This window comes from Homo sapiens, chromosome 15 (assembly GCF_000001405.40).
Source record: "Homo sapiens chromosome 15, GRCh38.p14 Primary Assembly".
NCBI lineage: Eukaryota > Metazoa > Chordata > Mammalia > Primates > Hominidae > Homo > Homo sapiens.
This window is the reverse complement of record NC_000015.10, coordinates 53,656,347-53,681,927: the sequence shown is the minus strand read 5'-3', so window position 1 is coordinate 53,681,927 and position 25,581 is coordinate 53,656,347. Positions and strand designations below refer to the sequence as shown.

At 36.7% G+C, this 25,581-nt stretch overlaps 1 protein-coding gene across 8 annotated transcripts in view; it reads left to right on the top strand.

Moving 5' to 3' along the window:
• Positions 1-25,581, top strand: part of WDR72 (WD repeat domain 72) — a 249,138-nt gene that overhangs the window by 80,951 nt on the left and 142,606 nt on the right. For all 8 annotated transcript variants that reach the window (NR_102334.2, XM_011521436.3, NM_182758.4 and 5 more), the window contains one exon: positions 16,160-16,356. Coding sequence is in view for 7 of the 8 variants with exons in the window: in XM_011521436.3 (XP_011519738.1) it covers positions 16,160-16,356 (197 nt within the window). In the remaining variant the exon portion in view is untranslated. The remainder of the gene's footprint in view (positions 1-16,159; positions 16,357-25,581) is intronic.

Genomic DNA, 25,581 nt, shown 5'->3' with positions numbered 1-25,581 from the left:
CATGACTTATTTTAAAAATTCTACATCATTTGATTCACTTTTTTTTTCAAGTGACACACACACAGGTATTTGTGGATGTGTGTGTGTGTGCATTTTAATTGAGATATTATTCAACTCCACCTTTTTTTGGTTCTCCTGGCATCTTAATATATATTAGGCATATTATTGTGGTATTTGCAGGATGTCTTCAGAACATTTTGTATGCTCAGAAACAAATAGGAAAATCAATACAGTCTCATTCTAATGATAAAAATAAATATTGTCTGCTCTTAAAATTACTTTCATCAATTAAGTCCCACCCTTTGCTGCCTTTATTGTTTCCTTTGGCAGTTGCTATCTTCCTGGGTTTTCCTTTAGTAAAGAAAATACTGGCTGTAATCAGTTTTAGCGATTCCTGTGGTCTGATTACACTTTTGGATTGAGTTCTGGCTGAGTAGTTTGTTATGTATCTGGTATCTGCATTTAATGTTTACGGGGGCTTCACCTACAACAGTAGAAAAAGAAACACATCAGGATGGCTGCTCTTTGGCTCCTCCTTAACTAGGCCCTTTCTTCAAGCATTTTATATGACACTTGGAACGTTAGTGGGTTTCACAGCTGTAACGTTTAGTGGAAATAAACCCAAAGGAGCCATCTGCCCTCCCCACGCTGCCTTCTTTCAATTCCCTAGCAACTTCCCAGTAGCCAGCTGCCACAGAAACAATTGGAAACGCAAGACTCAGTGGACTGTAATGATTGTTATTCTCTGGGAAAGTAGGTTCTCTGATTTGGCTGAGAGATAAAGGATACTGGATGCACTTGATTCATCTGACTGTATCAATAATATCCAACTCCTACCATTTGCTTACCTGTTAAGATTTGATGGGAAAGGTCTTTTGTGTTTCTAGGGATGAACTAGATGAAAACAAATTCAAAGGTCAAGTCCTTGGCTTGGGAGTGGTGAGCAGAGAATTCGACTGAGGGAATGTCAGATTTTATCTTCTGTGCTGCAAATAATGTTGCCTGCTGATCTCAGCCTTGTCAGTGCATCCCAGGCAATAGATTGGCCCACCACTTTCCCCAGTCCTTTTCACATTTGGGGGAAGCAGGTTCCATTCCACTGAGACCCATATGCTGAGTAGACAAAGGACCTGCTTCAGCCCTTGGAGCATCTGAGTACCCAACACTCCACTGAAAGGCACATGATGCCATCTTACAGTTCATCAGTTGAGCAGATAACAAGCTGTTTTTGTAAATTTAGTAAATGAATTGTATTTTCTGCTAATAAAAAATTTAGAAAATTTATGGGGTTAAGGTTCTAGGAAGATAACTAAGATAAGAAGATTTAATAAAAACAATTGGCTTTAACCCATGATTTACCCCGCAGGTTAACTTTCTTTGGTCACCACATTTTTCTTACTTCTGGAAGTATCAACCATAAGTCAAGTTTGAAAATTACAGTTACATGTTCCTTATTAGAGGTCTGTCATTTAAAAATAGAAATTCTCTCCATATCTTACAACCATGATAGTTTTCTTAAGCTTGGTCTGTTAGCAAAGTTATCTCCCATCAATAATTGTGTAAAGAAACTTGTGCTTCTTTTAAACATTGAATTTAACAGAATTGTTAGTACATTATGATCTAATCATAGAGGGCATAGATAAAACAATCCGCCAAGCTTGGGGTTGGAATTGCATGACTAAGCATACTTGTATAGATATAAATAGGAGCTAAATGCATGAGTTAATATACTATATTGCAGGAAACTGAGCATTCTATTAACCTATCTTATCTCAGAGAATATTTCTGGTTAGTTCTGGCCACCTTGCTACCAGTTATTTGGAGTATAGGCCTACATTCTCTTAGCCAAAATTTATAAATCTAAAAATCTCTGAAAATAAAAGTTTTTAATAGTTTGTAGTAAAGCAACATAACCAAAATTTAAATTGCATAAGGTTATTTATTTCACTAAGTGTAAGTATTCTTCCTTTTCTTTTTTTTTTTGCTGCAGATATATAGCATGTTTGATTACTGTCTGCTCTGTTAGACCTTGCTCCAGTTATTATATAATATGCATATGTGCATTATTTTATCTCTCCAAAATCTGAAAAATCATGAATTCTAAATTCCTATGGTCTCAAATGTTTTGGATAAGGAATTGTGGGCTTCTATTATTTTTCTCTGAGATTCTTCCCAAAGTAACTGGTGGTTTCCTACAAAATGCCATCTCCACTCTATATCTTTGCCTCCCATTGATTTAATACAGTTTAATCTGGCTTTTGCTACACTTTTTCCATTGGAACTCTTCTTCCTATACCTCACTGCCAAGTTGAGTTGCCATGCTCTGGGTCACAGGTACTTGTCTGCAATCACTCTGCCATCAATGTCCTTCTTTCCTCCCTCTCTCTCTCCATCCTCAGCCTCATATGACACTGCCTTCTCCTGATGGCCAATGGTCCCTCTTTCTCAGACTGCCCTACTTCTACATGCTTTCTGTATATTGTTCTTTGGGTTTATTCTCAAAGTTTTCTTTTCCTTGTATCTTCTTTGGGCTGTCTTATTAACACAGATGCTTTTTTATTATGATGATTGTGGTAAAATATAAACAAAGATGTGGGATCTTTACATAACATAGAATTTACCATTTTAAGCTTTTTGAAGGGTACAGTTCAGTGGCATTAAGTATGCTCACATTGTTGTGCAACCATCACCATCATCCATCTCCACAACTTTTTCAGCTTCTTTAAATGAAACTCCATACCCACTGAACAGTAATGCCCCATTTGTCCTTTCCCAAATTCCCTAGCAACTGCTATTCTACTTTCTGTTTCTGTGAATTTACCTGTTCTGGGTTGGGTATATCATATAAGTGGAATCATGCAATATTTGTTCTTTTGTGACTGGCTTATTTCACTTAGCATGAGGACTTCAAGTTTCATCCATTTTATAGCATGTGTCAGAATTTCCTTTTTTAAGGCTGACTGATACTCCATTTTAGGTGTATACACCATTTTATTCATCCATTCATTATTTGATGGACACTTGGGTTGCTTCCATCTTTTGGCTCTTGTGAATAATGCTGCTGTGAACATGGGTATACAAATATCTATTCATATCGTTGTTTTCAGTCAATTTTGGTATATACCCAGAAGTCAACACAGATGCTTTAGACCATGATCTATACATTATGAGAGGTGGGGGATAGAACCTTGTGGCATAGGATACGCAGCCACGCATACTGGGGTCTTTACCAGACAGGGGACCAAAAAAGGGAGGAAGAGCAAGTTGTTCTCTAATTCAGAATTGGGTAGGACAAAGGCTGATGCCGGAAAGTCTCTGTTCTGTAAGACTCCCTCTATAGTAGAGATAAAGTATATGCATCTGTATACAAAACACCTAGAGGAAGTGGCAGCAGAGATTATAAACTACAGAAATAAGGATGATAGTAAGAAGGGATAGGGTAGAATGCTCCGGGAAAAGAAGGAAAAGGAAATGGTTCTATAGAGTTAAGAGCCCACCAAAGACTACTGGCTATATAGGGAACCTGTGTAGCCATTCCATGGAAGTCCTAATCAGTACCTGTTTCTTAGCCCCAATACTATCAATAATGTCTAGTGATGAAGTTGGGTTATTTGAAAGATAAACTATTGCTACATTTATTTCGTAAGCCTTCAGTAAAAGATAGAATTATACATTTTCAGAGGTGGCAAAAACATTAAAAAATAAAATGTTTTAAGGGCAGATGGATTGGGATGTTCCTAATCTTTTATATGAACTTTTGAAAAATTTGCTGATTGTCTTGCCAATAAAGTTCTTTCTTCAGTTCTCTTCTCTGTATTGCCAACCAAACATTCCCTACTTTAAATCTATCCCTAAACCTGCCAGTCCCCATAATCTCTGGTAGAAATGTAACTCTACCACATAGCATTATGGCCTTGCCTGTCTTTTTAGTTAAAATACTTTCCCTAATCACCCTCCCAACCACAGGAAACACTAATACCCTGTCACTTATTCTTCCTGATCTTCCATTTCTTTGCAGTTAACGGGATTGTTTTAAGAATTAAATGGCACTTAAAAATACTCAATTAGTGGTAGATAATGGCAATTTTGATGATGATGATGATGATAAAGAAGAGGATGAGAAAACAATATTTTATCTCTTACATGTGCTTCTGTATTAGTCTGTTCTCACACCTGAGACTGGGTAATTTACAAAGAAAAGAGGTTTACTTGACTCACAGTTCCACGTGTCTGGGGAGGCCTCACAATCATGGTGGAAGGAAAAAGGGGAGCAAAGTCATGTCCTCCATGGCAGCAGGAAAAAGAGAGTGTGTGCAGGGGAGCTTCCCTTTATAAAACCACCAGACTACTCACTATCATGAGAACAGCACAGGAAAGACCTGACCCCATGATTTAATTACCTCCCACGGGGTCCCTCCCAAGACACATGGGAATTATGAGAGCTAAAATTTGAGATTTGAGTGGGGACAGAGCCAAATCATATCAGCTTCCTTTGGAAATAGAATGCTTTAAAAGGAATTTTTTGATGTGGCATATGATTGTGGAATCACCAGCTATTTAGAGAATATCTGAATGGCTTATAGTACTTAGGGTGTAAGAAAGGGGAAGGAGTTATAAAAAAGTATGAAATGTCTAACTAGCCATCACACTTACTTATTTTTATGTGTTTATGCATTTAGTTATATATTATGTTTAAGAAGCAAGAATTGGCTGGGCACGGTGGCTCACGTCTGTAATCCCAGCACTTTGGGAGGCCAAGGCGGGTGGATCATGAGGTCAGGAGATTGAGACCATCCTGGCTAACACAGTGAAACCCCGTCTCTACTAAAAATACAAAAAATTAGCTGGGCGTGCGGGAGGGTGCCTGTAGTCCCAGCTGCTTGGGAGGCTGAGGCAGGAGAATGGCGTGGACCCAGGAGGCAGAGCTTGCAGTGAGCCGAGATGGTGCCACTGCACTCCAGCCTGGGCGACCAAGTGAGACTCTGTCAAAAAAAAAAAAAAAAGCAAGAATTTCACGTATAAAATAGTAAAGAATGACTAAAATATTTGAAATCTAAATATGTTGTTCTGAGTAAAAGTACTGCCACAAGTCCTGGTTATATTAATTTCCTATTGCGTATAACAAATTAACACAAACTTAGCAGCTCAAAACAACACCTATTTATTGTCTCACAGTTCTGTAAATTAGAAGTCCAGGCAAACTCAACCAGGTTCTCTATTTAGGATCTCATGAGGCAAAATAAATATGTCAGCCAACTGGGCTCTCATCTAGAGGCTCTGGGAACCAATTCACTTTCAAACTAATTCAGGTCCTTGGCAGAATTTAGTTCTTTTCACTTGTAGGTCTGAGGGCCTTGCTGGCTGTGGCCAGGTGTTGCTTTCAGCTCCTAAAGGCCACTCCCTGACCTTTATTCATGGCCTCCTGCCACTTCCAAGCTAGCAATGGCACATCAAATACTTCCAATGTTTTAAATCTCGACTTCCTCTTGTTTGAGTGGCTGGAGAGAACTTTCTGCATTCAAAGCGCTCATCAAATTAGGCCTGGTCTATTTGAATAATCTGCTTATTATAAGGACAACTGAGTAGAAACGTTAATTACATGTGCAAAGTTCCTTTTGCCCTTTAATAATCACTGGAGGGCCATCCTATCATATTCAAAGGGGAGGGAATCACATAAGGATGACTGTCATTGGGGATTATTAGTAGAAGTCTTCCTATTACATTAGTGGTCAGGTAGGACAGTCCTACCTTTCTGGAGGTCCTCACTGGTGAGTGAGTCTATAGAAAGGAAGTGTGAAGAGATGAGAGAGCCTTTTGAGGTCACTGGGTGTGGTAATATGGTATTGAATTTTACAAGTGGCACTGGGGACCTAGGAGTATAGTGAGGGTACCCTGAGCCTTGGTGGTTTCAAAACAAATCCTGACATGCCTGCTGGAGCATTAGTCACCCATTATTTGCCTAAGGCAAATCACCATCATGTCCCAAGGGAAAACTGATGGCAGTTAAAATGTTTTGGTACTCTCATCTCTACTATATCCTTCCTCTCCAAAAAAATAACCAAAATAACTCTCATAGGACTTCACCCCTCACCCAGCACTTTATTCAAGAGACCATACCCCAATTTATCCTTTCCCAATACTCTTCCTCTTCCCAGGAAAAATTCCAGATCAACTCAGCAAGATATTGATCTGATTAAATTAATTGACACCAGAAGCATATAAATGAACAGACTCAAATCTCTTCAAGGATATTATACCCAATAAGTAACTTAACCTACAATTAAAAGCATGAGGGACAAAATCTACTTTTGAAATATTTTAAAATTTAAAAATAACATGCCTGGTGTAATAAATTTAAATAATGCGACGTGATGAATGAAATTTTGAAATACTCAGTAGCAGTATAATTTTATAGTTTTGTATATAATAGATAATTGTACAATTAATTAAATGTATTCTTTACGTTATACTTAAGAAACACTTGGCTGTGAATATCTACCTCTTAAATTGGTTGTAAATTGTATTTAGTCTTAGAGTGAGGTTAAAAATTAAAAATTAGTCATAGTAGATTTTTTTTTTTTTTTTTGAGACAGAGTCTCACTCTGTCTCAAGGCTGGAGTGCAGTGGTGCAATCTCAGCTCACTGCAACCTCCGCCTTCCAGGTTCAAGCGATTCTTCTGCCTCAGCTTGCCAAGTAGCTGGGACTACAGGCATGTGCCACCATGCCCGGCTAATTTTGTGTATTTTAGTAGAGATGGGGTTTCACCATGTTGGCCAGGATGGTCTCAATCTCCTGACCTCGTGATCCGCCTGCTTCGGCCTCCCAAAGTCATAGTAGATGTTACGCTGCTAGCGTGTGTTAATAAATAGATACCTTATCAAGAAAACCCTAGTTTAAAATGTGTTGAAAATTAATGCATTCTTTGCTATCTTTACACATCTCAGCAACTTTAAACCTCCAGGTGTTTCAATCCTTTTTTTTTCTTTCAATTGTCCCCCGCCACACCTCTTTATTCCGTTTTTCTGGAGGTCTGTGGTCAGAATTAGACGTGAGGGTTGAATGTGGCCCAGCTGATAAATCCCAGCATTGCTGTGAATGTGCTGGAGGCTGTGGCAGAGCTGGGGTTAAGGTCATGGTGGTTAGAGACTTTTTAAAAATGTATCCTATATACCCTTAAGGTACAGAAGATTGATGTGACGCCAATCTAAGTTTGTTATCATATTAGGGCCTCTATATAGTACAAAATAAGCCAGGTCTTTGACACTCCATTTTTTAGCTGAATTTATTATATCAACTACATTTAGGAATGAAGGTAAGTACCTTTATCCCTAATTTAATGTTTTAAGACTCATTCCCTTTCCCCACCCTTCCATTATTTTCTAGTTAGCTAAATTTGATACCTCCAGGGCCCCTGTTTGTGGTGGGAACCCCCATCAGTTATACATTTCCTGGAGTAAGATGCAGTAACTGTGAAATGGTTTTAATAGAAAGGGGGTGCTAGGTCGATCTCCATATGTGTTTCTGAGCAAGGCAATGAACTTCATGAGTAACTGAAAATAAATGATAAATTGTATAACAGACCCAATGGTCAAATTTTTTGATTTGTGGAATTTGATTATAACTGTCAGTCAGTGGTTTTGTTGAAACCTGACTTTTATGAATTTGATTATCAAATTTGGTAGTGAGGTCATTTTTTAAAACTTACTCTGTTTCAGAGAGAGTCACTTTGAAATATTGTCCTCTTAATCACTTGCCCAATATCATAATGGATTCAGTTAGAAAATGCCTACCCAATATGGAAAAGACCTAATTCTATAATATGTCCACTCACATGTTCTTGCTATTAAGCTTTGTTCATTTAAATACAATTATTTGCTAAATAATTCCTATCCTATTATGTGATTAGTGATGAATATATATGCTTTTTTTTTTCTTGAGATGGAGTTTCACTCTTGTTGCCCAAGCTGGAGTGCAATGGCGCGATCTCAGGTCACTGAAACCTCCGCCTCCCGGGTTCAAGGGATTCTTCTGCCTCAGCCTCCTGACTAGCTGGGATTACAGGTGTGCAGCACCACGCCTGGCTAATTTTTTGTATTTTTAGTAGAGACGGGGTTTCGCCATGTTGGTCAGGCTGGTCTTGAACTCCTGACCTCAGGTGATCCACCCACCTCGGCCTCCCAAAGTGCTGGGATTACAGGTGTGAGCCACTGCACCCGGCCCTATATGCTTTTTTCACAATGAAATATATATGCTTTTTCCACAATCCAATAATAAGCAGAATATTTAATTTAAAATGTTTTCCTTTTCTATGAAACAAATTTGTTTGAGATTCATTGGTTTACAATATATGTGCTTTGGATGGTCTGGGAGAATTTTATGTTTCTATAGAAATGGTGTTTCTACACTGTTCTTCTTTGGAAAGACACCATGAGTTATAGTAAGTCAATTAGTCTCAAATGTATTTATGTATAATTTTAACATAAAGAAAATGTTTCTGTACAACATGATAAAGTGTTAATCCATCTGGGTGATGTTGTTTAGTCTTAATTTCCTCTTGATCATTTGCAGATGGATTCATCAAATGACTATGATTTCTTTTTAAATTATTTCTCTCCCTTTGAGCATAATAGCTATTCTTTTTTTTCATAGACTTAGTGGACCGAGTTAATTTGTAGGAGGAAGTATGTAATTTAAAGCTATTCATACATTGATATTAGGCTAGGATACTTTTGTTAATTTTGGAAAGTAAATGTCAATGGGAGTTGAAAACAAGTTTCTTTTCTTTTCTTTTCTTTTCTTTTTTTGAGACAGTCTTATTCTGTCACCCAGGCTGGCTGGAGTGCGGTGGCATGATCATGTCTCACTACAGCCTTGACATCCCAGGCTCAAGCAATCCTCCCACCTCAGCCTCCTGAGTAGCAGGGACTACAGGCGTACACCACCATACCCAGCTATTTTTTGTAGAAATGGGGTTTCGCCACCTTGTCCAAGCTGGTCTTGAACTCCTGAGCCCAAGGGATTAGCCCGCCTCAGTCTCCCAAAGTGCTGGGATTACAGGAGTGAGCCACCACTCCCAGCCAAAATAAAATATTTAAGTAGAAGACAGCAAATAATAAAATTATGCACAAATTTCAAGGAAAATAAAATCAAGGAAACAACTTCTGGCTGTTTGGAAGGGAATTGAAGTGTAGAATGTGATGGCTCTTTCTTCTCCTTCTTTAGGTAGATGTTTAGATCTTTTTCATCATTTGGGCAGATGTATAGAAGTGTGCTCTTTACTCTGTGCCTTGCTCTTCTACTGCAGTTGAAGGCTGCATCCTTCACACTACATGTCATGCTTTAAGACAGCCTGATATTGCAAGATCAGATCTCATAACCGGTACATCACAAAGTGATTATTTGCTCTATTTAAGAACAAAACAAAAAACTGTAGATGCCTATAAATTTGACAATCCTAATGGGTTTACAAGAGGGCTGTATTTTAGCAACATACTGATTTACAGCAGTTTCAGAATCTTCCTTCTTTCTTGTGCAGAAACTGCTAACAGGGGTTTATGCTCGTCTCCTGAAACAGCTCACTCCAAATTCACTTGGAGTGGCTTTTTTTTTTTTTTAATCGGCATTTAATCCTCACCTATGTGCTGCTAATGCTTAAGGCTTTGTGTCTCTGCTCTGATCTCTACCTGGAACTCCACATGCTGTCTATTTGGGCATCCTTAAACTTGGCCTTTACCGTAATAGAAACATCTCTGCCCCATTCTTATTAGGGCCCCTATTAGGTAGGAAGCAGTAGAAGTAAAGTTAATTTTATCAGAAAGTGGTGTTTATTATAAGGATTCAGGTGTGTATTTCAGACACTTTAGGGGCACTATTCCTTAGGAAGGATCTAGAAACAAAACTAGAAAGTTGTAAGTGCTCTCTCTCTCTCTCGCTCTCTCCCTCCCTCTTTCCCCTTCTCCCCATCTCTCCTCTCCCTCTTCCCTTTTTTTTCTCTTTTCTCTTCCCCTTTCTTCCTTCTCCATTTCTGTCTCTCTCTGTGCATTTTCTTATTTCCATCTCATCTTTAGACTAGCATCTTCTGTTCTGTAGTCCACGAAGCAAGAAATGGCTAGTTCACAGGTCAAGACAACACGTCACATTCAGAAACTGACTCGCTGTCTCCAATTACAAGTTCTTGTGCCATCAGGAGTGACCTGGCAACATTGCTGAAAGCTGGGACAGGCCTCAGGCTTGTGAATGGCACTTTTCGCAGTGTTGGCCTCTCCTGGGCTCTAGGGTCTAAGTTTATAGTGCATATTTCTGGCATTAAATCTTGTCACACTGAGACCCTCATATGCTCTGATGCTTTATAGCCACCTCTTTTCACTGCCTCAGGGAAAGGATAAAATTCTTCAATTTCTTCGGTGAATATTTAGAAAGACCTGCTTTGTACCAAGCTCATGGAACACATACTTGCCAAAAAGAGTTTAGTATCTGTTGGGGAAGCAAGCAAATAAAGGACACCAATTACAAATGTGATAAGTTCTATAAAGTGAAGAAGCTGAGATAGAAAACAGTACAAGATAGGGGAATCTATTTTAGAAGGCTTCTCTGAGGAGGTGAGATTTTAAGCTAATACCTGAAGGATGTGCTAGAGCTAGCAGGAAAAAATTTGTTTGTTTTCAACAAAAGAAAAAGAAAATCTAATTTGTGAATAAGGGGAGGCTGACATGGGAGAAAGCAGAGCGAGGGTGAGACTATGACTTCTTGGTCAGGGAGTTTAGGTTTAATCCCAAGTGCAGCGCCAGTTAAAAAAAAATCATGAGCAGGTTGTTGATGTCATATAATCTATTAAGAAGTATTATCTAGCCTTTAATTTATGCCAGACCCCATTCTGGTGTACTGAAGAGGATTAAAAAATAAGTCAAATATATAATCCTACTCTGAGTTTGATTGTAACGTAGCCTGTGAGGAAAGGCTGATTGAGGAGGTTCAAGTCTCAGGTAGGAAGCCCTGGGGGCCCAAGCTGGCCATATGCCCAGTGACCTCAGGCCTAGGTGTCAGGCAGACTCTAGTGCTTGGGGGCCAAAGAGGTTTGTTAATCAGCTCACAAGCAGCTGAGTGAGGACCTCTCTCGTGTGACAAAGAGGGCTGTCATATAGCACAGCATTCACTGTGTGCCGAAACCTCTAAGCACTTGTTATATCTACTCAATTTAATCCTCAAGTAACTCCATGATGTAGGGATTATTATTATCCCCATTGTACAGATGAAGATATTGAGGCACAGAGATGTAAAGTAACTTGTCCAAGGCCACACAGCTATCAAAGGTAAAACAAGGATTTAACTACAGGACAGTCTGATGCCAGAGTCTGCCCCTAAACACCATGCTGTGATGATGTGTCCTTGTTGTCCCCCTGGACAGATAGAAAGAACATGGGCAGGGTTGTGCATGGGGTCATAGAGAAAGCTCTGGTTTTACATGTAGTTGATTAGGTATGCTGTGGGTTATGCTGAACTGACAGGGAAAGCAGTGTGTACAAGTGAAAATCCTGTCAATATGGTTCTAGGGATCTGCAGAGATTATCTTGGCTGTTTCTTATATTTCTGTGTGCTGACTTTTTGGAAACTACGCAACTTTGGAAACTGATCTTTCCTTCATTTCTTATCAAGATGTTAATTGCTTTAAGCTATCTTTTCTTATGATTAGCTCTGGTCTCTAATGCACTATTGTATAGTTTAAGATTAAAACAAATTATATAAAAATTCATATTAAATAAATAATAGAAAAATACAAAATATTTACTGGAAAGCATTTTATACAATAAAGATTTTACTTACAATAGATTTTATAGAATATTTTTGCACACCTACTTTGAAGGAGGAGATGTAGTGTAACTTTCAGTAATGCTTAACTCACCTATGTCTCTGCACCTTTCCTTGTCATGTTCAGATTGATTCAAATGAATAATAAATATGAATTAACTCCTATTCTTGATGTACTATAATGAAATAAAATTCTAATTATCATTAAGTTTACTTTGGAAAGCAAAAGTACTCCTGAAATTGGAAGTTGAATTAAGCAATTTTGTAAACCTTCAGTTTCTTATATTTCTTTAATATCTGGAAACAGTAGCTATTCTGTATCTTGCCCAAGGCAGTATATTAGAGTTGCAAAGGCATCCCTTGTTGGAAATCTTCCTTGTAGTCATACCTCCCTTTTTGGTTATTTTTTTGCTGTAGATGTTCTCTAATAGTTTAAATATATCTCTGAAGTTATGTAAATTTCATAGCTTTGGAGACATATTTAAGGAAACATTCTGCATCATAAGTGATTTGTCATAGTGTATTAATCAGGGTTTAATCAGGAAAAAAAATGATGCAGTAACTTAAACAGAAAATTTAGTATAAAGAATTGTTAACTATCATAAAGAATTTGAATATGAGAGATTGACTAGTAAGAAGAGAACTCTAAAGAATATAGGAATAGCAGATGTGAAGGATGACTCCTAGCCCTAGAACTTGAGATAGCTTGACCAAGAAACCAAGAAAGACCCCCCTCCACCCCCTAGGGCTAAGTTCCTGACCTTGCTAGAGAGGGTATGGTTATATGTACTGAATGGCAAAGAAGCTGCTATGGTGTAGTGCTGGTGGAGCTTTCCAGAAATATTCCCTCGCGGGTGCCAGAGAAAGCTGTCCATAGGGAGATGTCTTGCTGGAGGCGCTGTTACAAAACTACCCAAAGAGTATGCCAAAGAAAGTGGTTGGATGCAAAGTGCTGCTAGCCCCGCCGTCATGTACTACAGACAGCTGTACTGGGGAAGACACTAATACTACTCCAAGAAAAGTACACGAGAACCAAGAAAAGAAAGCCCTTTCTTCTTCCCCTTCCCCTCCCCTTCCCCTTCTTTCCCTTCCTCCCTTCTTCTTTTCTCCTTCTCCTTCTCCTTCTCCTCCTCCTTCTCCTTCTCCTCCTCCTCCTCCTTCTCCTCCTCCTCCTGCTCCTCCTCCTCCTCCTCCTTCCTCTTTTTTTTTTTTTTTTTGAGACGAGGTCTCACCTTGTCACTGAGGCTATAATACAGTGGTATGATCACAGCTCACTGCAGCCTCGACTTTCTGGCTCAAGTGATCCTCCCACCTCAGCCCCCCAAGTAGCTGTGACTACAAGCACATGCCACCATGTCCGGCTAATTTTTGTATTTTTTTGTAAAGATGGAGTTTCTCCAATGTTGCCCAGGCTGGTCTTGAACTCCTGGACTCACCTGATCCACCCGTCTCGCCCTCCCAAAGTGCTAAGATTACAGTTAGGATGGGATGAGCTATTATACCTGGCCTTAACCCTTTCTTCTACTAGGTGTTTCCAGCACGCTCTGTCCACAAAGGTTAACATTTCACCAGCTGATGAATGAGAAAATATTTATCAAGCCCAAATTCATTTTCACAAAGCAAGCAGTGAAGGGTGAATTTGAATCTAAGAGGTAATAAATTGATAACTAGCACATGTGGGAATACCCATCCACTGTCAGAATTTTAACCAAGGTCTTTCAAAAGCTGCCATCCTGAATTTATTACAAAATTAACTTACTGCTTTGAACATGTAGTTTATTTATCTGTCTGTCTATATCTTTTACAGAAATTGATTGACTCTAACCACTCCTTATGTCATGTGTATGCCTTAATCAGTTCTTCAAAACAAAATATTCATTATTTTTTAAACTATTTTATAACTAATCATGATAGAAACCCTTGTACACAAAACCGAGTGTCTAACATTTTTAGAATGAGAGATTGTTAGTTTTGGGTGGAAATAGCTTAGGTGTTACTTTAAATATTGCAGCTTATCAGTTTTCAGATGTTTCTTGCCTCTGCACTACCATTAGGTTTTAAGGAAGCTCCCAGGGACCTGGACTGAGTCATTCTTAAATACTATACATTGTCATCATCTGGCATGGTGGATGGTACATGGTAGCATAGTAGATGCTCAGACAGATTAATTATCTGTGTATGAATGAAAATGGATTACAACTACCTAAGTTTGTAGATAAACTGTTTTCATCACTAAAAAAATACAAGAAATGTTGTATTTGGGTAAGACATTAGGTATACAATAAAACGTGCATATATAAAATGTATACATTTTGCATAAGGCACATAACAAATGTATTAAAATGCAATAAGTTCTTTCCCAATAATTCTCAAAATATGTAAACAATATCATAGTTTGAGGAGCCACAGAGAACCTGTGAGAAGAAAATATCCAGGATGATACCGTATTCAAAGAGAGACTTCTCAGAAAGACAGTGAATTTTACCACATAACACGGTTCCAAGTTCTGGAATGCAGTAGTTTTCAGGAAGCAGTAATAACTCTTATCTTTGGTTTGTGAAGCTTTTCCTATTGTCAGTCTTGAGAGGAAGGGTTTTCTTGATGTTGCTGTCAGCTTCATTTGTTGATCTATAAATCATTTTTTTCTCCCTGAGGTGTATCCTTCAGAAGATATATCAATATTTTTTTTCCTAATTTATAAAAATTAAAGTCCCAGAATATCTAGCTGTTGCATACCATTGTGACGAACTTTGTGTTTATTCTTTTTTGAGACAGGGTCTCGTTCTGTCACCCAGGCTGGAGTGCAGTGGCGTGATCCTGGCTCACTGTAGCCTTGACCTTCTGGGCTCAAGAGATCCTCCTGCCTTAGCCCTACCTAGTAGCTGGGACTGTAGGTGCTTGCCACCATGCCTGGCTAATTTTTGTGTTTTTTTGTAGAGATGGCGTTTTACCATGTTGCCCAGGCTGGTTTCAAACTACTGGACTCAGGCAGTCTGCCCACCTCAGGCTCCAAAAGTGCTGGGATTACAGGCATGAGCCATCACACCCAGCCAGATAGATCAATCTTGGTGGAAAAGGAAAGCTTAGAAGAACAACATGTTTATAAGCTTGTATGATAAGGATGTTTATTTATGAATGTAGAAATGTTATAATAAAAGTATATTGTTAAGGGACTCGAGACTGAAGTTTTGCCTGTTATTTGAGCACAGTAACTGTTACTGATTCAGAATCCACAGTGCCAGCTAATGGTAGTTTAGTTGTAATAAAAGAAGGCTATAGAAGAGTGGGAGAGAAATGAGGAAGGATAGAATAGTCATAATCTTCAAATGTATCTACCAATGTTTTTATCTAAAGACATAGTGGCCTACAATTATTATTTCTATTTTCTTATTGTAATTAAGTTGATATTTTCTTAACAATATAAATAGTACATCTACTTCTTTCTCATTGGTGGAAAAGAATATGAAATGAAGTCTGTATTTAGGTATTGTTTATTAAATTAGTATTCCTTGGTGTCTTTATTCAGTAGGAGATAACCTATATATTTAATATAGTATGAATAATACAAATGAACTCATAAGAGACAGAACATGATTAATTCGTATTTATTGATATTTCACTGAGTGTATGGCATTGTATTTTATAAAAGCATTGAATTATTTGTGAATTGGTTTCTGATACTTTTGGTCTATTTTATACTTTTTTTTTAACTTTAAGTTGAACTTGACAGCACTCCTAAATTCTGAAACTGGAAGAATGACAGAGGCAAAGGATTTTTTTCCCCTTCTAATAACATAAGAAATAAAAGCCAAAGGATATAATCACAACAATACCAACAATAAAACAGCAAAGCCCTGTGGGGACACTTCGGTGAGGGAGGCAGTACACAAAGCATCCGTGTTCTTACTTGCTCCATTCATTTAAATTATGTGTTACCAATAGAAACATTTCAAGCCTGGAAACCCAGGCAAAGCACTGTGGGTTCTCTGTTGCTTGTGAGTTGGAACACTAGGGGACAGCACTAAAATATTCCATAGTTATGTGTTATTGATCACTTGCAACTGTATAATAAGTAAGAGATTTTACTATTAAAGACTATCGAATCTCCTGTTGATTTCAGTGGATGAAGAAGCGCAAAGAGGAAGATGAACTTTTCAAATCCATAAGTTCAGACTTTATGAGCAAGTGTTTTGAATAATTTAGGAAAAGCTCCCAGGCTATTTTTCAGTTGCAAGATACTAAGGCACGATAACTTAAAGGATTGTGATTCTTCTGCTAAAGAGTGTTTGTTCTGTCTTATTCTGTTGGGGTAAATATTTTCCTGACATTTTTACCTCTAATCTTGTTTTCCAGGCACTTTGGAAAGACATGAGACAGGAGAAAGAGCACGAATTATTCTTAATTGTTGTGATGATTCACAGCTTGTGAAGTCTGTACTTCCCATTGCCTCAGAGACACTTAAGCACAAAAGTATAGAACAGAGATCCTCCAGCCCCTACCAGCTTGGGCCATTACCTTGCCCTGGTCTGCAGGTGGAGTCTTCATGTAAGGTAAGTTCAAATCAAGCTGTTGTTCACAAAGAACATTATCAACCGAATAAGAAGTTATATGCATTCATAAATACATGGCACTTAAGTATCAGCATGAAAACAAGAACTAAGAGACTGCTGCATCTACCAAGTAATCTTGGGTGAATCAGTATAACTTTTTGAGTGACTATTATACTTACTATGGCATGATTTTTGACAAAATAGGTTCTGGCTTATCAAAATTGAGTCAATTTTATATTAACCCTTGAATCCTAGGTGATTTAACATAAGGAAGGGAAAACATTTATATTCTGTAGTTTGGATATATTTTTATTTTTCACTTGAGAGTATCTGACCTCTTAAAAATGCTGATTGAAAATAAACAAAAAAAAAATCAGAAAAACTAGATCACAGTATGGATAATTCTTTTGATATAACCAATATCTGTAGGATCACTAACTCTCTAGGATTCCAAGCCTCAGTGAATACACAGTGATGGAGTTGGCATTTATTCTCATAAACCAAGTCAACCAGCTTAGCAGAAATTTGGACTAGCTTTATTGTTTTTTACTTCTAAATATGATATAGTAATTTAATCTGATTTCTTAAAGGGATTATTTTCCATCTTTTTGTATTTTCACCTCCAAATTATCCCCTCAACATACTGTTGTAACTATGCCGTTTATATGTACATATCAAATGTATTTTTTCATATAAACATATTTTCATGGTATTAATATGTAACTTTTATTATTAATGGCTGCATTATGCTCTATGTGGTGTGTCTATCATTGCTGGTATAAATTGTTTCTCTATGTCTTGATATATGGCTTGGTTTTTATGTTTCACTTTTAAAAATAACACATCTATGAACCTAAAGCTTTTTTCATGTAGATTATTTAAAGGATATATTTTTGGAAGTGGGATTGCTAAATCAAGGTTTTGCTGATTTTTAATTACATATTGTTCATCTTTTCTGTTATTTTAATGGTATTTTGAAGGCTAGTAATATACTATTAATAAGGACTTAGAATAAGACCTTATTTTATCTCAGGTGTATGTATATAGTTAGGCAAAATAATGTGTCATCATCAAGAAAGGCCAATGGGCCATTAAAGCCATGCCTCAAAGCAGTAGAGTTGGGGCAGGGGTGCTAGCATGTAATCTTTAGCTTTTTAGGTTTAGAGGACTGATTTAGATTTCACACGTGAGTCTAGGATTTGTCAACCTTGTGAGAACTGAGTCACACTAACTAAATACCTAAAAAATGAGTATATAAACTAGAATGACAATTCTTTAATTGGCATTCTGGTTATTGCTTGGTACATTCTCACTGTAGCAAATCTGAGGCCAGGGGAAATTGTAATACAGGGTGCCTTGATGGAAATGGAGTCAGAGCCCAGAGGATATTCATTCACTGAGCTCTGAGAGTTGAATGTAGCCAATGCTTTCAGCCCAGCAGAGTACCATCTCCCTTGGTCAAAGCTAATAATGCATGGAAACATTTCTGAATTTTGTATTTCTCTTCTTAAGACTCCATTTAGAACACCTGCTTTTGTTCGTACTTTCCTCCTTCAGATATTGAAACCGGTGATTAGGTGACAGCTTTTTTTCTTTTCTCATTTAATCCATTGTCTTTAGGTTTTTAAAACCTATTTTTCCTATTCTTAACTTGAAAAGGTCATTTTTCTAAGGACAGTTATAGAGATGCATTGAAACTTCAACATTAACAGCTGAACATAAGGTGGGAAATTGAACCACACTGACAGTCTTAGGTATCATAAGGCTATAGTGAATAAAGCCCAGTGAGTGAGCTGAGCCAGCTGCCAAGCATCCCCATCTTGATGTGTCTTTGTTGCTCACTATTCATAACAGAGTTAGCATCTTATAGTGGAAATTATATGTCAGAGTATTAGCTGAGAACCGGGGGAATGTCTCTTGACCTATGCGTTTCAGATGTCTAGGGTCTGCAGGAGCAAATCTCATTCATCAAGTGTCATTTTTACTAATTTAACTCCCAGAAGGTAAACTGACTGATATTTATTTCACTCTCTTGAAGAGCTTCATAGCTACTCTTTAGGTAGTGGTAATAATATATATAGATTTCATTTTCTTTATATAATTTTGTTTATTCCTTGACTTCAAGAAGCAATGAAATGCCAGAGTCTTGTTTTCCTACTTATAGGCTGATTTCAACTTTATTTTCTTGCTTTTGCCCCTTGCCTTAGATGACTACAATTTCAAACTTTCATTCTTTACATTCGGACATAAACTGAATTGGACAGGACTATCACCTTCTTTGTCCTACATACTATACTTCTCTTATTATTGAATTTAGTGCTAATTAGAACAATATTTATTTGTGCTTCTCCTAAGTTATATCTTTTTAATTTATGTTCTGGGTATCTTCAATGTCTATTATACACTTTTTCTCTTAGCATTTCATCCTGATAGAGTTAGGCTGTTGAGATTGTTTTATTTATTTATTTATTTATTTATTTTTAGAGGCAGGGTCTTATTTTTAGAGATCGTGCCACTGCACTCCAGCACAATCACAGTGCAGTGGCACGATCATAGCCCACTACAGATTTGAACTCCTGGGCCCAAGCAGTTCTCTCAGCTCAGCCTTCCAAGTATTTGGGACTACAGGTGCACAACACCATACCTGGCTAAATTTAAAAAGTTTTTCTATTACAGGCAAGATCTCATTTTGTTGCCCAGGCTGGTCTCAAACTCCTTGCCTTAGGTGATCCTCCTGCCTCAGCCTCCTGAGTCTCTGGTGTGAGAGGTGTGAACCACTGTACCTGCCAAGGTTGCTTTATCTTAGTCTTCTTTAATTTACAAATTTGATAAGTGTGAAATGTTATGGGTGCTTATAAGTTTCCCATTCTCCTTGTTACTAATACAGTAAAATGCTTCATGAGTTTTCTTAAGAAAAAAATTAATTTTAAGAAACCAAGTTTGAATCATACTCATTTTATGTGTGGAAAAAATGAGGGACAGTATGCCTGTGAAATTTAAAACTGTTAAAGGTTACTTTGTATTTCAGGATTTTTTTGTGTGTGGATTTTAGTAAGACACAGGTGAAATATTCTCCAACAATAGAATGAACTGTTTAAACAGGAGACTAGCAGCGGAGCTTTTTGTGTTTGGCAACATTAGGACTTTATTAGAATGCTGTATTTCTTTTTTATTGTTGTATTTGAAGCAAGTGCATATAGATCTGGGGAAAAGTTTGCAAGAGAAAAACAAATACAACAAAACATTTTGAAAATAATTCCAATTTGAAATGCTAGAGGAGTTGAATTTGTGCTGCTAGACAAACAATATCTCTGGTATAGGAAAGGAAGGCCAGAGTCATAAAGGATTTAAAGGAATACAATATCATATTCATGATGGGGAACTGCTTTTCTTAGATTTATCTAAGGATAAGACAAGATAGAACCTGTTTAAATTGCAATGGAAGGAATTTAGCATCAAAGTAGGGAATAAATAACCACCCTAAAATCATCTATATATTGCAGAAATCTTTGTAGCTTCATGATATTTTAAGGTAAAAACACCTATTTTGTTTGTTGGTTGGTTAGTTGCTTTTAAATTCTTTTTCTGCATTTCTTGTCTGTAAAATGAATAAAAGGGTAAAGTGGATTATTATTTGGGGCCCATTGTAGTATCCTGGAAATGTCTTTTCTTTAAAACTGATTTTCTGTAGAATAGGTCCCCCAGCAGCTCCTTGTGATTTGCTTTTCTAGAGCTTCACTGTCTAAAATGGTAGCCATTAAACATTTGTAGCTACTGAGTATTTGAAATGTGGTTAGTACTACATGTTAAATTCTATTTTGGTTATGTAGAATTAAATGAAATATATTATTAAAATTAATCTCACCCATTTCTTTCTCCTTTTTTTAATGTATCTACTAGGCAATTTAAAATTACAGATGTGGTTTTCATTCTATTTGTATTAGACAATGATGAACTAGACCAGGGATAAGTATTTTTCTTTTTTGTAAAGGACCTGCTATGATTTGGATATTTAACCTCTCCAACCTTACGTTGAAATTTGTTCCTCAGTGTTGAAGAAGGGACCTAAGGAGAGGTCTTTAGGTCATGGGGCATATCCTTCCTGAATAGATTAATGTAAGGATGGGAGTACATGAGCTCTATCAGTTTCCAGGAGCATTGGATGCTAATAAGAGCTCCTCCCTCTCCTGTCTCTCTTGTTTCCCTTTTCACCATGTGATCTCTGCACACATGGCTCTGGTTCACCTTCTGCCATGAGTGGAAGAAGACTGAGGCCTTCACCAGATGTCCTGTCTTCCAGCCAGCAGAATCAGGAGCCAAATAAAACTCTTTTCCTTATATATTACTCAGCATCAGGTATTCCTTTATAGCAACAGAAAAAATAGGCTTAGAAAGGACCAGATAGTACATATTTTTGGCTTTGCAGGCCAGAATTTTGCTGCTATGGGTACTCAACTCTGCTTTAGGAGCACAGAAGCGACCATAGACAATTCTTCAACAAGGGTGGTTGTATTCCAATAAAAACATTATTTACAAAAACAGGCAGTGGACTAGAGGTGATGCACTGGTTGTCATTTCCCAATTTATGATCTAGACAGTCTACTGGACTTGGAGATCATGAGGTCTGAGGAGAAATTGGCAAAATAGTCAACACCTCCCTTTTCCCTCCATATCTGTATTTTACATGAAACAACTTATCCCAACCTCTGCACTGTGTGGAATGTAATCCAAAAGAGCTTATATCAAGTCTAACCTGTGACAGAAACCGGGAACTCATATGTGTTTGGAAAACCACCCTTTGTAGAGAAACAAATTTGTAAGTAATGGCTCCCAACTTAGTTGGAATTTTTTTTAATGGAATTTTCTTTAAATAACGCACTTATATGTGCATCTTTATCTAAGCATATAAAATTGATTATAAATAAAGACTGCACTGCATTATTTACATTTTAGTTGAGCTTTCTAGACATATGGTTATATATATTTTTAACCTTTAGCTGACCTTATGGTGATGTGTCTCTGGTACCATTTGCTGAAAATTTTTATTAGAGTTTTATTCTCATACCTCTTGTAAAAAACAGCTGGTGTATTGGTAGACCACCAATTGAAAATTTGATCCCACTACTACCTATCACCTTATGAGAATGAAAGTTAGTTCTTTTATATTTTATGACACAAAAAATAACCAAAATAGAATTAGTATAGTTTCTAAATTGTGAGACTGGAAAATATCATCTGAAAATATACTTGTAAAAGTATTAAATAATAATTCATCATGGCAATACTACATGTTACCATGGTTTTTATTAAACTATCTTTATTTTAATATTAAACTTGTATAACTATAAAAAAAGAACAAATATTTATTTTAAAACAATAAATTGCATTATATAGGGCTAAATCATCCATATAGAATGAAAATTTTCCCTTTTTGATTAGTAAATTTTTGATTTATTCTTTTTAATAAAATAAGCAGCATAGAACTATTTTTCTAGTGTGGAAAATATTCTATATCAATTTTTTATAATTTTAAAAGAAAATAAATAGATTTTTATTTTACATTTCAAACACTTGATGAACAGTCATTTTCCTCTGTAAACATTGGATTAAGATTTCTGTTTTAAGTATTTTGATTTGGTGAATCTCAACTTAAAACTGTAGTACCTAAATGATAATACCCAGCCTAGGAAGATGGAATAAAGAAATAAACGTTAGGGGAGAAATCTACAAAGTCATTTGCTTTTTGAACACATAAAGTGATGCAAGTTTTTGACAGTGTATAACTGTTTACCATAAGAGTTTTATAGATAATTTTATGTAATGTAAGTTAAATAAAAATTTCTGTAATATCTAATCCTTTTTTTTTTTTATAACTGCCTTATGAAGAATTTCCCTTTTCTCATTTTGTGGCATGAGTTTAAACTTTTTTTGTTTTTAAAATATTACCTCAATCATGAAGAAAACTATGAGGAACATGTCACAGCTTCGTTTCAAAACTAATTTAGAAGGTCTGAGTGACTATGAAAAGTAGAAAATGCACCATTAAATGACTCCAGCTGTCCACCTCGCACCCAGAAGCAACTCCGAATTTCCTCACAGGACTTCAAAGCCTGGCTTGTATCTAAACATTCGTTGGCCATGTAAATCAGAGGCACAAAAGGAGAATGCTCCTATTTCATGGTGCTAGGCTAGCTTAAGTCTGGCTTTGTGCAGCACGTGCCGGTGGGGAGTGCCAGCAACGGAAGGACTCTGTTCTGACTCGTGTGACAAATGTAGTTAACACCGGATCCATATTAATGTTGTCAAGTTCCCTCGATGTATTTAAACAGATTTTAATTATTTTCAGCGTCCACAGGCCTGAAATATATAGCCTAATAGTTCTTCAAAGAAAGCTTACTTAATGTGTGAATGTAAAACCTCTCATAAAAATGAAACTTTTATATTGGCCTTAGTCATTGACATAGGTTATTCATCAAGTCAGCAATTTGTGTGGCAAAGTGCCATTTGAATAGTGTATTGTTAGGATACTTATGGTCCACTTGACAAGGGCTCTTGCTGTAAATAGTGCAATTTGACTCCAGCTGTTAAAGAGTGGCTTTGACAGCAGCCAAATAGAATGGAGATGCCTTACTGCACTGCTGAAAAATCAATATTGGGTTCTTGTTCATAGTAACCTGTTCTTTTCTCTTCTGTAGATTTATAAACGACTATTAAGGGTTTATAAGTGGAAGTTTAAATATTATTTTAACTGTAATTCACTTTAAGTTTCAAATTAAGACTTGTGATAAAGGGTACAAATGGAGAGTTTTCAGATATTATTTCCAAACCCTGGCTCATGTTTAGTCACAATTACAGTTAAGTTTAATTTGGATTCTCTAGCTTCAATAGAAAAGAATTTGTGTAAAACATGGACACAAAATTGTGTGCCTATTGTATATTGCCAGCCCAATTATTTCTTCTTTTTGATTTTCCTTATCAGTTTATCTTCCGTGTCCCTCCCCTCTTCTCTGTGTGTATACCTTTTTGTATAGATGGCAGAGTTCTTTGTGGCTGTGCCCATAGCAACACCCACAGATGTTGACAGCCAGTCATGTCCCCAGTGTTGTTTTCCTAAAGCAGAGTCTTGCTGGTTTTGAAGAATTTTCTAAGCAATTTTCAGCACTACAAGGTTGCTATGATACCTGACTGGCTGTAATAGATATTGAATCTGTTAATTACAATAACTACACACAGGGCTATTTTTTGATTGGGTTTCTCTACCATTGCGAGCTGTTATGTTCAAGATACAGAGAGGAAGTGAAGTTATATATTTAAGATGAGGAAAAAAAATGCTCCAAGGTAAAGTCTTGAAATGTAAAAAAATTTCCAGGTATAAAAACCTTTTAGCTGACTATTGCTTTCCCAGGACTACAGATATAATTTATTTAAATCATTTCTAGTTTTGGCTGAGTTTGATTTTTAGTTTTTATTGCTGTTCCTGAGAGGACATAAGTCCTCATCTAAAGTGTACTGAGCAGGATTTGAAAAAGCTGCATTTTTTAACATGGAAAATGCCAGTATAATGTGTACTTTCTCAAATGCCTTTTTCAATGAAGTCAGCTGTTAAAATAGCTATCTTCCTATTACTAATCAACTCTGCATTTATTGAATTTATGGCTGAGATAGCAACTGAAAATTCATAAAGCTGATAATATAATTGTGAGCGAAGACCTTTAAGGCTCATTCAAGGTCGGCGTTATTGTTTTTATAATTGCTGATAGGCAACCGTGATTTCTACCAGAGAAAAGGTTGGTTCTGCTTTGGGTTTAGCTGGTTTCAAAAAATGTTCTCTCTTCCATTATTTCTAAAGTAAGATTTTTCAGTGAATAAATATTTATATCATTTATTTAGTACTAAACTTAGCTTTAGATTTATTTCAGTTTCTCTCCCCCTACAATATTTCATTAACCCTATAAGAGACATAGAAATCTAAGATTATAACTTTCTTCTTGGATTAAATACTCCATTTGTAGTTATCAGTTAATTTGAAGGGGGAAGTTCTAACATAGAACGTGGAGAAAAGTTTAACATTTTAGGCATTTTAATTTTGTGTTTAGCTTGATCTAGGGACTGTGTTAGCATAATTTATTAAAGCACATCTTTACATTTGCCTTCATTTACATTAATAATTTTATAGATATTTTAGAACCTATGAATTCTGTAATCATGCTCATATATTATGCATCCAAAACTATTTAGCTTATTTAGACTTTTTTCTTCCTTATTTCTTTTTTCCTTCTTTCTTTTTTTTTTTTTTTTTTTTTTTTTTGAGATGGAGTCTCGCTCTTTTGCCCAGGCTGGAGTGCAATGACATGATCTCGGCTCACTGCAGTCTGTGCCTCCCAGGTTCAAGTGATTCTCCTGCCTCACCCTCCCGAGTAGCTGGGACTACAAGTGCATGCCACCACAACCGGCTAATTTTTTGTATTTTTAGTAGAGACGGGGTTTCACTGTGTTAGCCAGGATGGTCTCGATCTCCTGACCTTGTGATCTGCCCGCCTTGGCCTCCCAAAGTGCTGGGATTACAGGCATGAGCCACCATGCGAGGCCTGTTTTTCCTTTTTAAAAACATGTAGCCTCTCACAATTTGTTAAGATCCTGCTTCTTGTAGTACCCAAAAGATGACCCTATCCCACCTACTTAAAGAGGTTATTATTTATTGGGGTCCAAATTCACTCCAGTGGATTTGGATGCTCTGTTATTGAGCAAACTTGTTGGTTCTGATTAAAATGATTATAAATGTTACCTCTTTAAAATGTGTTTCTATTCTGTTTTTTTAATGACTAATGCACTGGATGGTATTTTCTGGAAAAAAATGATGTTTGTAGAATTCAAATGTTAACTCAAACTATTAGTTGCTTATAACTGGAAAGAAATGGAGGAGAATAAAATCTTTCTTGTTGAAAGCTGGTAATACCACTTATTGACTGAGAGTACCATGTGGACCCATTTAAAGCAATCCCAACAGGAGCACTACTTCTGTACCAATGACTTATGTTGAAACTGGCCCTAAGAGAGTAGCAAATGCAAAAAACTAACAGGAAGCAATTCTCAAAAAAGAAAGCATTTATTTTCATGGAATATTTCCCCATACTATTAAAAACAAAATGTATTAAGACTTTATCTTTATTTATTGGAACTAAGAGCATGAACTTATTAAAAAAATACATCCAGCTAACGTTCTTG